This window comes from Homo sapiens, chromosome 3, assembly GCF_000001405.40.
Source record: "Homo sapiens chromosome 3, GRCh38.p14 Primary Assembly".
Lineage (NCBI taxonomy): Eukaryota > Metazoa > Chordata > Mammalia > Primates > Hominidae > Homo > Homo sapiens.
Window position 1 is genome coordinate 141,095,758 of NC_000003.12, and position 14,242 is coordinate 141,109,999.

At 47.1% G+C, this 14,242-nt stretch overlaps 1 protein-coding gene across 1 annotated transcript in view, besides 1 other annotated feature; it reads left to right on the top strand.

The window, feature by feature from the left end:
• Window positions 1–14,242, top strand: part of SPSB4 (splA/ryanodine receptor domain and SOCS box containing 4) — a 97,265-nt gene that overhangs the window by 44,411 nt on the left and 38,612 nt on the right. The window lies entirely within an intron of this gene.
• Window positions 7,190–7,706: an enhancer, noted in NCBI's record as "NANOG hESC enhancer chr3:140821789-140822305 (GRCh37/hg19 assembly coordinates)". NCBI's record gives its function as "activates a minimal SCP1, AML or CMV promoter by ChIP-STARR-seq in naive H9 embryonic stem cells {active_cell/tissue: H9 hESC(naive)}" and the evidence as "EXISTENCE:reporter gene assay evidence [ECO:0000049][PMID:30033119]".

Sequence of the window (14,242 nt, forward strand, 5' to 3'; positions counted from 1 at the left end):
AGAGGTACTGTCCCAGGATGAGGGAGGCCCAGGGAGGAGATGTGGCAGAGATTATTGGAGATCTTGGATCCAGACTCAATGGAGAGCCAGGAGACTCCTGAGAGCAAGTCTGGATTGGGGCCCAAGGCCTAGATTTGGGCAAGAAGAGCACAGGTCTTCCTCATCCATCCTTCTTACAGCTAAAAGTAAAAACTCCCTTCTTCTGCCTGATGTCTGGGGCCATGGGGGACAACAGAGCCAGATGATATTAGGGTTTATATGACTTTTGACAACACCAAGTCCCAGAAAACTCTCAGGGAAGCCAGGAAGGGACCAGTTGGGTGAGTGGGGAAGAGCAGAGGTAGGAATAACGCCTGAGACAGAAGAACCAGAGGTACCTTCTGCCTCAGTCAGAAGCCTTTTATATGCTTCCTTGTAGAAGAGGAGCCAAACCTAGAATGCGACAACCACCCAGGGCCCCAGGGGGAAACAGCTAAATAGTTGAATAAGATGGCACATGAGTTTAGTGACCAAAGGAGGTACATGACTTGTTAGACACTTGGGACCTCCTAAAACACAGGTTGTAGTAGGACCCTCACCTCCCATCATCTGGACCTTATACTTCTTTTGATGCAGCCTCTGTTAGTCTTAGCTAATTGAACAGCCAGCTCATATTGACCAGTCTCAGAGAACTTGTGACTTTCTTTCATGGAACATATTGCCAGGACAGCTCTCCCTGTCCTGCCAGCTGGATTGATTTCCAAGGCCTAAAAACAGGACTTTACAGGAATCCCTAATGGGTTCCATCTAACTGCACTATGCCAGATTTCCTAGAGTATGGAGACCATTTGGGTTTCTAATTCCATACTCTTTGTGCTGTCTCTCTTTTTCCAGCATGTGCTGCTCACGCATTTGGTAACATCATAGTAAACATATTACAGTATATAGCATCCTACATTAAACATAATGGACATGTAACTGTGATCCAAGTTGCACGTGACTTCTTGACATAATGCTTTTTTTTGGTAGATGTTTAATTAAAACATATTAATTTTAACTTTATGATTTTCTTTCAGTAGTTTTTGAACCAATAAATTCACCATATGTCTCAAACATTTTTTAAGGCCCTTGAAAAACACATAGTCCAGAGCCCTGTGCCTGGAATGAGTGCCCCATGGTTGAAATGGGCCCATTGCCTTCTCCCTGGCATCCTGGTCAGCTGAATGAGCATCCCAGCCAAACTTCCTGTCTCTGATTTCCTTGTCCTCAATCTATTGTCTTTGTGCATGGCTTCTAAATTCATCACCCTGAAATACCCGTTCTTTCCATTTTCACCCTTTCTTGACAGTCTGTGATGGTGACTAGAATCAGGCCATGCCACTCAGCCTGCATGGGGACTCTCCATCAGCAGCTCCCAGCCGCCATGTGACCCAATGTCCCTCTGCCCTTACATAGGCCATTGCTGTAGTCTGGCCAGGGCCTTTGTTGGCCCTTGGACCCGCCATGTTGATTCCTTCATTTCCCCCATTGTTCCTGCTCTTACCTAGACTGAGAATGGGAAGAGCTTCACTAGACCCAGGGATGGTATTTCAACCAAGGCTTTCAAACTACAGAAACTGTTTCTGAGACTGCCCATGTTTTTCTCCAGATTCACACATTTCCCATATTCTGTTTTTGTTTGTTTGTTTGTTTTTTGGTTTTTTTTGAGACAGGGTTTACCCAAGTTGGCCAAGCTGGTCTTGAACTCCTGACCTCAGGTGATCCACCCGCCTCAGCCTCCTGAAGTGCTGGGATTACAGGCATGAGCCACCGTGCTTAGCCACACATTTCCCATATTCTTGATCCTCTCTGAGAACTATCTCCTAATACCTCTTCACTTTGACTTTCTGCTTGTCTCTCACAGAGGAGAGAGACTGGCCTCCCTCCTGTTCAGTGAGGAGGAATGGTCTCTGGGATCTGCAGGTAGCTATATTTGGGAGGCAGGACCTGACAGGGAACTGAGATGTGGCTGGTCCCACAGAGCAAAAGGTCAGTGAGCCTCTGATTGGCTGGCAGATTGATAATATTTAATAATAGAAATAATTTTAAAAGAAAGTGTAATTACCAATAATAAGAAAATTACTGATAATAATAGTGACCCTTTAATGAATAGCCATTGTATTGGAGTTCCTAGTCTGAGCAGTTTACATACATTACCTTACTTAATTCCCGCAGTATTTACATGAAACAAAAACAGGCTCAGAGCAAATGCCAGAGACATCTAAGGTCACATGGGCTGGGAGGACAGCTCAGGCCTGTCTGGTTCTCAAATCCATGCCCTTTCTTCTTCACCAAACCATTTTTTTACTAACCAGCAACTATTTGCCAGTTTGTAGAGAAATGCAGTGTTCCACTGATCCATCTAGTCCTTCACCGGTACCAAGTGGTTTTAATTACTGCAATGCTATGGTTAAAAATCTGTTTTAATAGCTGATAGGACCACTCCCACCTTACTCCTCTTTGTTTTAGATGTTTCTGTTTCGTCTTTTGTGTTTGTTTTTTTGAAGAATTTTAGTTAATTATTTTAGTATGGTCCCCACAAATCCTGTTGGTATTTTGATTGAGATTATATGGCATTTATAGATTATTTTAATGGATAAATGATATTTTTAAATTGTTGGGTATGCCAATCCAAACATAAATGTCTTTCCATTTATTCAGCTTTTGTTATATCTTTTAGTATATTTAATTTTTTTCTTACAAGTCTTACATAATTCTTGTCACGTTTATCCCTAAGTATTTAGGGATATAAAATTGTTTTTATTATGAAAGAAGCCTATCTTTCATTGTATTTCCTAACTTGCTATTTGTCTAGAAGGAAGCTGATGATTTTTTGTTACCAATTTTGTAATTATCTGCCTCACTGAATTCTAAGTTCCTCTAGTAGATTCTCTTTTGATTCTCTAGGGTATTCTAGGTATACCATCAAATCTTCTGCAGATAATGACAATTTTGCCTTCTTTTTCTATATAATTATTTGGCTAATACATCTAGAACAGTGAAAGGTAATAGTGGTGTTGGTGGGTGTCTTAGTTCATTTTCTGCTGCTAGAATAGAATTCCAAAGACTGGGTAATTTATAAAGACAGAAGTTTATTTGTCTCACAGTTCTGGAGGTTGGGAAGTCCAAGAGCATGGCATTGGCATCCGGCGAGGGTCATCCCATGGTAGAAGGTGGAAGCGAGCACATGAAAAAGAGACCAGATGGGGCCAGACATCCTTTTATCAGGAGGCCCCTCCCAAGATACTAACCCACTCCTATAGTAACAGCATTAACATATTTCTGAGCATGGACCCCTCAGGACTTCTTACCTCTTAAAGGTCCCATCTCTTAATACTGTTACAATGGCAATTAAATATCGACATGAGTTTTAGTGGGACATTTAAACCATAGTAATGGGATAATATGACTTTTTTTTTTTTTTTTTGAGACGGAGTTTCGCTCTGTCGCCCAGGCTGGAGTGCAGTGGCGCGATCTCGACTCACTGCAAGCTCTGCCTCCTGGGTTCACGCCATTCTCCTGCCTCAGCCTCCCGTGTAGCTGGGACTACAGGCGCATGCCACCATGCCCGGCTAATTTTTGTGATAATATGACTTTTAATGACTAAATAATATGTCACCATTTTGTTATACCATAATCCAATTAATGTCCTTTATTTTGTATGTATAGATTGCTTATAAGTAATATTGCAAGGAATGCTCTTATTTATACATTTACCACCCATGTTATTTATATCCATGTGGTAGATTGTTAGGAGTAAAAATGATGAGTCAAGGAATAAAACTGTTTTTGACATTGCTGATGCTGAATGCCATCTGATTTCTCAGAAAAGATTTCTTTGTTAACCAAAGTGTATACTTCAAAGCTTCAGATGTTGGTTAGTGCCTTGCAGAATCTTAGGATAGTGAGGGGATTTCCTTAGAAGGGAATTTTTGTGGTGTGAGCTTGTACGTTAGTCTTGTTGGGAAGGTGTTTTATTGTGAGCTTAGATTTAGATAAGAACAAGACATCGTGGCACCAGAATGTGCTGGTACTGAGGCCATCCCCCCTAACCTGAGGTCAGTCAAACAGAGCCTCTGTTTACTTCTTTCTGAGAATCCCCTTCCATTAGGGACTGTTATAAACCATGCAACCATCAGACACATGCCCTAGTATGGTCTTGACTGGTCTTGTCCAAGCCCAAAAAGCCACAGTTTTGTGATAGTGGCTGTCATCAGCCATACAGCAGCCATGTGGCCTCTTCCTCTGGCTCCCCATGGCTCTGCCCTCTGTGCTGACTTTGCACAAGTGTCTCACTCTCACTCATTCTCTCTCATTGTTCTCTGGTGGTCAACCCAACTGCCCTGTAGTGAGCTGCTGGGCTGTGCCCTATTCTTCCCTGGCAGCTCTTATCTTCTCTTGCAGAAAATAGACAGAAGTGTTATGAGTTGATTGTGTCCCCCACAAATTCATATGTTGATGTCCTAACCCCAGCACCTCAGAAAGTGACCTCATTGGGAAATGAGGTCATTGCAGATGTAATAAGTTAAGATGAGGTCATCAGGGTGGGCCTGAATCTGCTGTGACTGGTATCCTTATGGAAAGGGGAAATTTGGACATAGACATGCACACAAGAAGAACGCCCTGTGAGCATGAATGCAGAGACCAGGGAGATACATCTATAAGCCAAGGAAAGTCAAAGATTGCCGGTAAACCACCGGAAGCTAGGGGAGAAGCATGCATGGAACAGATTCTCTCTCACACTCCTCAGAAGAAACCAACCCTGTAGACACCTTGATCTTGGGCTTCCAGCCTCCAGAACTGTGAGGCAATAAATTTCTGTGAAGTTACACAGTCCATGGCACTTTGTTACGGCAGCCCCAGGAAACTGATACACAGGGTTAGGGTGCATCTTCTCAGCCAGTGTGAAGCAAAGGTTCTTCACTGCTGAGGAATGACTTGTCATGGTGGCTTGAACAGGTGAGGCCAAGGGTGGAGAGGCGGCAGGAGGGGAGAGGAGAGAGAGCCTGTGGAGTGGGTACCCTGAGTCCTGGGGTGTGGTAGCCCTCGGTATGGGCAGGGGCCTAGGGAGAGAAGGGAGGGTGCCCTGGTACCCACATTGTAGCCCTCTGGTGAATGCTTGTTTTATAAACTCAACAAAGGGTCCCTGTGAAGTGGTTGGAGGCCCCTTTTCCAGTGCCCAAGACAGATAGCTGCCCCTCTGGTAGCGGGGATGCATGATGGCCAAGAAGGGAATGGAAACTCCCAGACAGCAGAGGGCTGGGTCCCCCTGACACCTGCAGCTCTGTGAGTATGGAAGGATGTGGTACGAGTTGTCATGGGTGAATGGCACTGGCCCAAAAAATGCCACCTGGACCTTCTGAGGCTGGCAGTGAAGGAGCCCCCCGAGGAGAATGGTGGGTGGAGCTTAGAGCCCAACTCTTGTCCCCTTGGACACTGCCACAGCTCTCACCAGGTTGACACTGCCATGCTTTAGTGACCTGGCCAGAGTGATCTGAGGGCCCACGCTTTGCACCTCCCCTCAGCATCGCACTAAGGCTGGGAGGTCAGGAGAGACAGACCTGGCAGGACCAGGGGCTGGGAACCTTCTTTCCATGATAGCACTTTTGTCTTCAGCCTGGGGACACCTGCCAGGTGGCCCCTGCCCACCTCCTCGCTCTGCAGCTGGGGCAGAGACTTAGGAGTCCAGCTACCAGGGGGAGAGCCCAGCTCTGCCCCAAGCTAGTTCTGGAACCATGACTGAGTTACTCAACCTCTTCAAGCCTCTGTCTTCCCATCTGTAAAATGGAGACAATAATCCCCGCCTCGCAAAGTTCTCCTAAGGATTAAATAATAGAATGGGTATAAACTGCCCAGGACGGTGCTGGCACACAGTGGTGATCACCATCAGATGGCTCTTATTATTACCTGTGTAATATTCCCCAAATCATGGACACCTAAATTCTTTCCCACGTATTAATGTTTTTACCTTCCCTTAAGCTAAACAACTGACAGCACACTAAATAGAAGATGCACCGATAACGTGTTGCACATCTTAAACTAGTCATAATAGGTTCTGCACTATTCGTTTCCACGCACCAGCCCTTGCTCACTGGAGACTTGTAGGTTTCCCTGAAGCATTTAGAGAGATGCTTGTAAAGTCATCATGCTTCCCTGAAGGCAGTACTCCTTCTCAAGGGCCCTTTCCTCCAGGAATGCTCCTCTAGCCCCACATTTCGTGCCTTTCCAGTTGTGCAGTGGATTCTCACATAAATCACCAAAAGTTCTAATAGTTTGTTTATTCATGCTTTCATTGATTCATTCATTCCTTCATCTAAGACTAGGAATTACTCAAGCAATAAAGGTGTATCCAGGCAGAAAGAGCAAGAAATCGGAGTTATGAGAGGGCTCGGGGTCTGGGGCAGCTCAGTGTGGATAGAGCTGGAGTGAAGGGTGTAGTCACTTAGTAACTGAGTAATATATACAGAGCAGGTACTGTGGCCAGGCCCTGTGCTAGGTACTGAAGATAAGGCAGCGAACAGGCAGCCAGGGATCCTACCCCATGGAACGTACAACTTAGCAAGGAAAACATACAACCGATTACAGAAATTAGCCTGTGGTTACTAGTGTGCAGGGTGGCATGTCGGGAAGGTAGATGGTCCTGGGAGAGTGTATGAGTGGGGCCTGGTCTGTCTTGAGAGCCAGAGAAGGCCAATCTAAGGAACCTCTAAGCTTAGAGGAGGAATTAACAAGTGAGGTGCCTGTTTGGGGGTGAGGGATGAAGAAAAAGGTATTCTAGGCAGCAGCAGCAGCATGTGCAAAGGCCCTGTGGCAAGAGGGAGGCTGGCACAATTTAAGAACTCAGGTGGCAGGTGACATGCAGGGAGCATGGCAGGAAAAAAAGCTGGAGAGGCAGGCAGGGTCTCACAGAGGATAAAGGAACCAAGCAGGAACAGAAACTTTGTATATATGAAAATTTTCAGTAAGGATAAGTTGGGGTGTGGGCAAAATTGCAGACTTACTAACAGGTAAGTGGCCCCTTTGAGATGCCTGGAGGTCAATGCGGTTGCTCAAAGAAAGCATGGCCAAGAGAACACTGCCTGGCAGAACTCCTCAAGCCCTAGGGCAGCCAAGCCTGCCCATGAGGAAGAGGCCACATCTCTGCCTCTACCTCACACTTGGACTCCAGGACTCCCCTCTATTCCCAGACCCTAAAAGAGGATTTCCTGCAGCCCAAACCAGATACGGTCACTTACAAAAAAAGGAATGGCTCCCAAGTGGCCGCGCCTGTCCTGGGTGCTGCATAAAGCTGTTTGATGTCTCTGTTTTCCCAATACCTGATTGTTAACAACAGGGCTTTAGGAATCCCAGTGGCAAAGGGGCAGCCTCTGAAGACAGCAGCCTACACTGGCCTGGAGCCATGTCCCCCTCTGAGCTGGCTCCATTTGCAGACCTAGCATGCCCTTTCAAGGCACAATTAATTCTAAAGCAGGAGCTGATAACAGTGAACCCTGGGGTAGGCCACATCCCCCAAGGCAAGTCAACTAGGACTTGTTACTGAGCTACTCCAGGTCAGGCACAGTGTGGACACAGAGGGGCCCCACGACAGGGAGCAAAGAGCTTCCCATCCAGCTCACTCATCAACCCAAGGAAATGGCAGCATCGGAACAGCACACACTTTTGGTGCCCTCAGCTGTACACAATCCTGACCCTGAAAATGAATGGAAAAGACTCAGTTGGTGCCTGGGAAGGAATCAGCTTCTGTCCTGAAGTATATTAAAGAAAGGTCTTCTCAGGTGCTACTTGCTTGCAGTTCATTTATACCTCCCTGGTTACCTGCCTCCCATTCCCTCCGCACAACAAACCACAAATGAGAATGTAGGGTAGGTAAGGCCAGAGACAGGCACACCAGCCGCAACCCTCCAACAGCGAACTGCCTACCCACATGAGGGACACAGAACAGCCACAGCAAACAAGAACTCTTAAAGTGCAGCTGTCCGGAGCCATTCAGCAAAGGGGCATGAGGCCCAGCCCTCAGGAGCCAGGCAGAGCAAGGTTGTAGTACCAAAAATGACCTTTTTTTTTTTTTTCCTTCTAATTCTGAATCCTCCAGAATGGATTCAGTTATGTTTAGGGTGATTAGTTCAAGATCAGGGAATAATGAGTCTTAGAAAAATTCCCACCCAAAGAGATCATGCTCAAAGTAGGTTCGTCACTTAAAAGGACCATTGATCCGACAAATTCACTCATGTTGAGAAAGCTTTCCCCAACAGTTTCCAATAAATGAGGTGTCAGTGAAATGATCTCAGCAGTGAAATAAATAATACCAGCATTAAACTATAAAGCAGCCCCTAGAAGGGTGTGATTATCTAGTGAGGGGTACAGACAAGGAGTGCCTGCAGGTCCCTGCGGGTGCAGAATGACAGAGGGACTGGGCCGAGAGGAGGACCTTGTGCAGCATTGAAATGGGGCAGGAATGGGCTGGAGGGAGAGGGCAGGGGAAAAGCACTCCAGGCAGTGGGAGTGGCAGGAGCAAAGGCAAGGGGCTGGAATGTGCTTCATTTCTTGGGGAAGGGGAAGAAAGTACATGAGACTGGCAAGAGGGAAGTTTGTGGGTAGATTCCTTGAGGAGAGCCTGCTGGGGCCAGACTGTGACCTGGACACGCTGCAGACACCTCCCAGGTGGCTGCCACTGACCAGCCACAGAAGCTTCTTTGAGGGCCTCCCAGACACACCCCCAAGGATCTCCTCTGCATGGCAGATGGCTGGGGTTGTTTTTGGCAGCTTAGATTCTGGAAGTCTGTGGGAGGAGATGGCCAGGCGGGAATGAAAGGCTGCCAGACCTCGTGACCTGCACACAGGTGGCCGGTGTCAGGCAGGCAGTGGTGTCTGCAGACTTTGCTGCCCAGACCTGGGCAGGGCCTGCCAGGGCGTCCTGGGAGCCAGCACAGGCTGCGCGGCCGGCCCATCACAAGTGAGCCTTTGTGGCCCCGGTTTACGAAACCAGCCAAATATTTTCCTTGTCACTTTATGAGGTGCTAGGTCTACCCATTCAAGCTGGGAAAAATAAAGCGTCACAGAATTTGCGCCGTTAGAGTTGAGGAGGTTTGAAGTGAACCAATGCTCCTTTTAAAAGAATTCTGTGCCCCTGGGAAGGCCTGTCAGCCTGAGGGGTAGGAGTACACCCAAGATCCCACCTCTGGAAGGGATGGGTACCATCCAAGCCGCCTGCAGGTTTTACAGACGTAGAGAATGAGGCCCTGAGTCTGGAAAGTCTTCAGCCCACAAGGCGGATGGAGTCAGATGAATGAGGAGACTGAGTTCCTTAAATATCTTTAGCACCATACATTCAGGAACCATTTTAGCCTCTTTTTCACAGGTGAGGCCAGAAAGGCTCACAGAAAAGGGTGGATGGGAATTCTCCTTCAGAACTTCACTGCAAGGCAGAAAGGATTCCAGAAGGGCTTTGAGGCTGAGGTGCGTGGTGAAACGGGATGTTACACACTGAAGTTGAAAAGCATCCGCCTTGTGCAGTAAGCCAGTGGGCAGTCACCATTGCGCTGATTCCTGGCCTCCCACTGAGTTCCCACATCCCCTACAAAGCCCCATTTCTTACTGCCCATGGCCTATAATTTCATTGGTAGATCTGCTTCCCTTTTGCCTCTAGTAATAAGTTTCATTTATTGGGTACTTGCTATATTATGCCAAGCATTCCACTAGGTACCTCATTCATTCATTTAACTGAGATTTATCAAACACCTACTATATGCTGCCCCCCGAGGATGCAGCAGCCCTGTCTGGCGTAGTATTGAATCCATTGTTACAGATGGATCATTTGAGCTCAAAGAGAAGTGACTTGCCGAAGACATACAGCTAATACACGGCAGAGTTGAATTTCAAAGCCAGGCGGGTCTGACTTCAAGGTATGGCTTCTCTCCACTCCCTCATTGACAGGGTTAGGAAGAGGCAAGTAATTAATAAAGAAGACACAATGTAAGTAATCATAATTCTTTTCTTTGCCTTCAAAGTTATAATAAAATAGATTAAAGTTTTAAATGCTTACTACGTTTTTTAAAAAAATTTCTTTTCCATCTCCCTTTCCTGGTAAACTGCTTATTATCTTTTAGATGAAATAAAGATACACTTTCATAAAAGAGAATCCGTGATGGCCACTTAAAATTCCACACTACATGTGGTAACTACATCGCCACCTGGTGGTACAGATTTTGCATAACGGGATGTAAATCAAGAGCAAAGACAACAGCTATGGGCCATTGGAAGGGACTACAATTTGGAAGTGAGAATTCAGAGGTTCTAGTCTGTGCTCTGCCCTAGACTGGCCGTGGTGGCACTGAGTCAGCCACTCCAGCCCTCTAGGTGGCAGATCCTTTTTTTGCAGCTCCTGTGTGGGCTGGTGTCCCTGGAGACTCCGTTTTAACTTGGACATTCCCTCTTTATTGTCCTCCTATGTTGCACTGAACTCAAAGAAAAATGCTCAGGTGGGTTTTGAGGTACCAGTTGGGGAGATAGTGTGGGGCAAGGCTTTCTGGAGCCCTCGGGCCACTCCATGAAGGCAGCACCTCCTCCTCTAAGTGTGCACCTTGGCCTGGCCTCAGGTATCCCATTATGGCTTTTCACCCTCCCTGGGATCTGCTCTGACTGCAGTCCTCTTAAGGGCAGTTCTCACCCCATGCCTTTCTCACCAGACCAGAGACCCTCTACCACACCCTAGGGTATCCATCAGGAATTACCTCCGATCAGAGTTCAAGAAACCAAGTTCAGGGTCTAGGATGGGCTTAGCACAGCAGAAGTAGTTTGTTAGTTGTATTCTTTTATAAGGAACAGAAGACCTGACCCCAAACTGCCTTAAGTTAATAAAAGGAATATATGTGCTTTTGTCACTGAGTAATTGTAGTTGCTTTAGCCTCACCTGTAATCCCAGGTTCAAACACCATTGGCAGGGTCTGACGTCTCTCTCTCCATTTCTCAGCTCTTCTTCCTTCGTGTCTAGTGGCACCTTAGGGGTGTCTTATGGGGCTTTAGGCCCCACACCCTCAACCTACCTGAAATAACAGGATCTAAGCAGACAGTGTTTCCTAGATCTCCCATCTCACAGACCACCACTCCTGAGCCCCTCCTACATACACATTCTAGAGGCCTCTGTATGGGGTCATCTTTCTCAGGTCCCCAAATGACTTCAAGGAGGCCCTGGGTCCACCTGTTGCTCCTTCTTATTGCAGGCCATGCCCAGCACAAGTCCTGGAATCCACTCTCATGGGCCCCACTGGGATCTCAGGCTCACCCCTGAACCAGTCAGTCACAGTGGCCACTGGACTGGAATGTGCTGATTGGCTCAGCCTGGTCAGAGGCTCCACGCCTGGGGTTGGGATGGGGCAAAGCCTCAGGAAAAACACACTCCCCAAGGGATCTGAAATGTTTTACCTAAAGGGCAGGTGACGGATGCTGGAGGCAAAACCATCAGAAATCCATTAGTAATTAACATAAAAGTTAGTAGAATGGAAGTTCATACATTATTTATCTTTTGAGTAAATCAGAGTGATAAGACTATCTTAATGGTAATGTCGCTTCATTCACTGGAAAGGTGTGTTCATAGGAATGCAAAAGGCTTAGGAAAAAAATAAATAAGACGAGAAGAGTCTGTTCAGCGACAGAGAAAACAGAGTTGGGCCTGGCCTCTGTCCTGTCCCCACTATGTGTCCATCCAGGGCAAGGACAGTATTGGTGAAGACATGTTTCAACAATGCCTTCAACTCAGCCCTGAAGAAGAAAGGTAGTCCCTTAGGTTTCTGAGTTTCCTTCTGGGAGTCTGTCTTGCATGTGAATATCATCCTGTAACTATTGGGACAGCCTTACATCCCCTCTGCTAGTCTCTAAAATTGACTTGAAGATTTTTATTTGTGCCCAGGCACAGTGGCTCAGGCCTGTAATCCCAGCACTTTGGGAGGCCAAGACAGGTGGATCACCTGAGGTTAGGAGTTCAAGACCAGCCTGGGCAACATGGTGAACTTTTCTCTACTAAAAGTACAAAAATTAGCCAGGCATGGTGGCTCAAGCCTGTAATCCCAGCTACTTGGGAGGCTGAGGCACGAACATCACTTGAACGCAGGAGGTGGAGGTTGCAGTGAACCGAGATCACACCACTGCACTCCAGCCTGGGCAACAGAGCGAGACTCTGTCTTAAAAAAAAAAATAAAATAAAAGATTTTTATTTGTCTGCGGTGGCCTCTTTCGCTGTTCTGTCCTGCTTGGGCTAATGTTTAAAATTCCAGATAGAGTGTCCAAGTGGGCAGGGCCTTAGGGACTCTGGTGCAAGCCCCTTCTGCTGTGAATGGGGGCCAGCGAGGGTCAGAGTCTTACTGAATTCACAGAGCTAGTTAAATCACCGAGCTCAGGAGCCTCTGCCTGGCAACCCCTTCTCGTGGGAGTCTCGTTACCACAGGGTTCCCAAGCAGGCAGACAGAGAGGCAGCCAAGGTGAAGGCCCCGATGACACCTTTGCTATGAATAACCCACAAAATCAATTACTGCAGTGGGCAGAGCAGCAGCCAGGCCCTTCACTGTGTGCTGCTGGGCGCATGTACTGAGATCACTTCTTGCTGCAGGGCTTCCCTTCCTAATTGTATTTTGCTCAAACTAATGTTAAAAATTAACTTTCCCAGCATTCAGATGAGGCCAAAGCAGGAGGTGGAATAAGAGAAAAGACTTAATTTTTAGTGGATAGACCACCAGGGAGCCACCTGGGATAGATGTTCTGTGTGTGTTTGATCTCTCAGAGATGGAGAACATTTACTGAGCAGCATTCTGTGCTAGGTCCTGGGGTACTCCCTAGGATCAGACCGAGGCCATGCCTCAAAGAGCCCCTAGTTTATCGGGTAGCCACACAAGTAACAATAGTGATAGTTCAGTGAGATGAGCATTAATAAAGGGCTCTGGGTAGTGCAGGAGGCGTGGAGGAGAGAGAGAATATCAGGTGTTTGGGTCAGCTGTGGCATCGAGGAAGTGCAGACAGAGGAGGAATATTTGAGTTGAGATTTAAAGACTCAAGTATCCCTTTCCCTAGATGGAGAAGACCGAAAGCAGCATTTCAGGGGAGGGCACAGCATGTGTGAAGGCACAGCGGCTTTAAATTGCACAGCAGCACTCAGGAGGTTGTGAGAAGTCCAAGGTGCATACGAGGAAGAGAGCAGTCAGCAAAGAGACCAGATCATGGAGGGTGACCCCACCGCTCTAACTGGTATTTATTCATTCATCAAAACCTGGGCCTTTTGGAGTCCAGTTTTTTAAATTTAGATTTTACTTATTTTGAATACATTTATAAGGTTTTATTAAAACATGACAGTGATCAGTCTTCTTCCCACCCCTGTTTTCAGCCACCCTCCCCAGAGGCAACCGATGCTGTCAGATTCTTGTGTATTCTAAGGTGTTTCCCACAAATACACAAACAGCAGCAGTCCACTCACACCTTGCCATGCACCTTGCTTCCATCACTTCATATATCTTGGAGGTGATTCAGCACATGGAGCTTCCGCCTTCTCCTTGACAATGGTGGGAGCTCAGTTGTTAGTCCTAGCTTAGAGACCTTCTCATTCCACCCCTCATCTTACAGTGGAAAGGCCCAGAGAAGGTGGGGAGCAGCTCCAGCTCACCTGCTGTTCAGGGACTGAGCCAGGCCTGAAACTCACTCCTCTGCCTCCCATACCCACCCTGGGCCAGCCAGATCCACTTCCTTGCCAGCGGTCCTCATTTGCTAGCCCATCAGCTGGGTGAGGCTGCCATTTTTCATAGCCATTACAGGCAGAGAAGCTGGTGTTTCCATCGGCCTCGTGATGTGGATTTTAGACTTCCACAGTAATCTTTATCATTGTTTTCTCACTTTCCCTTTCTCTCCCCTCTTCCTCCTCCTCTTCCTCCCCATCTTACATCTCAGCAGCCTTGTATCAAGCCTCTGCCCCACCCTGGTCCCAGCAACTGGTCACCATGGCAACAAGGGCCTTCCATCAAAAAGCGGCCTTCCAGGTATTTTATTTTGAGCCCCAATTAAGCAGGGCAGGTCACAGGCTGGGAGCAGTGCAGAGAAGAGTGTTTTACGGCCTGTGAGAGAGCCCAGGTGCTATTTATAGCTCCTTAATCGGTGTTGCTAAATGGGTCTTAACTCACGTCCTGTGGCAACTGCACATTTTCATCGCAGAGAATCTCCGCCCCACAGCCTCACTCCCTCCATCTGT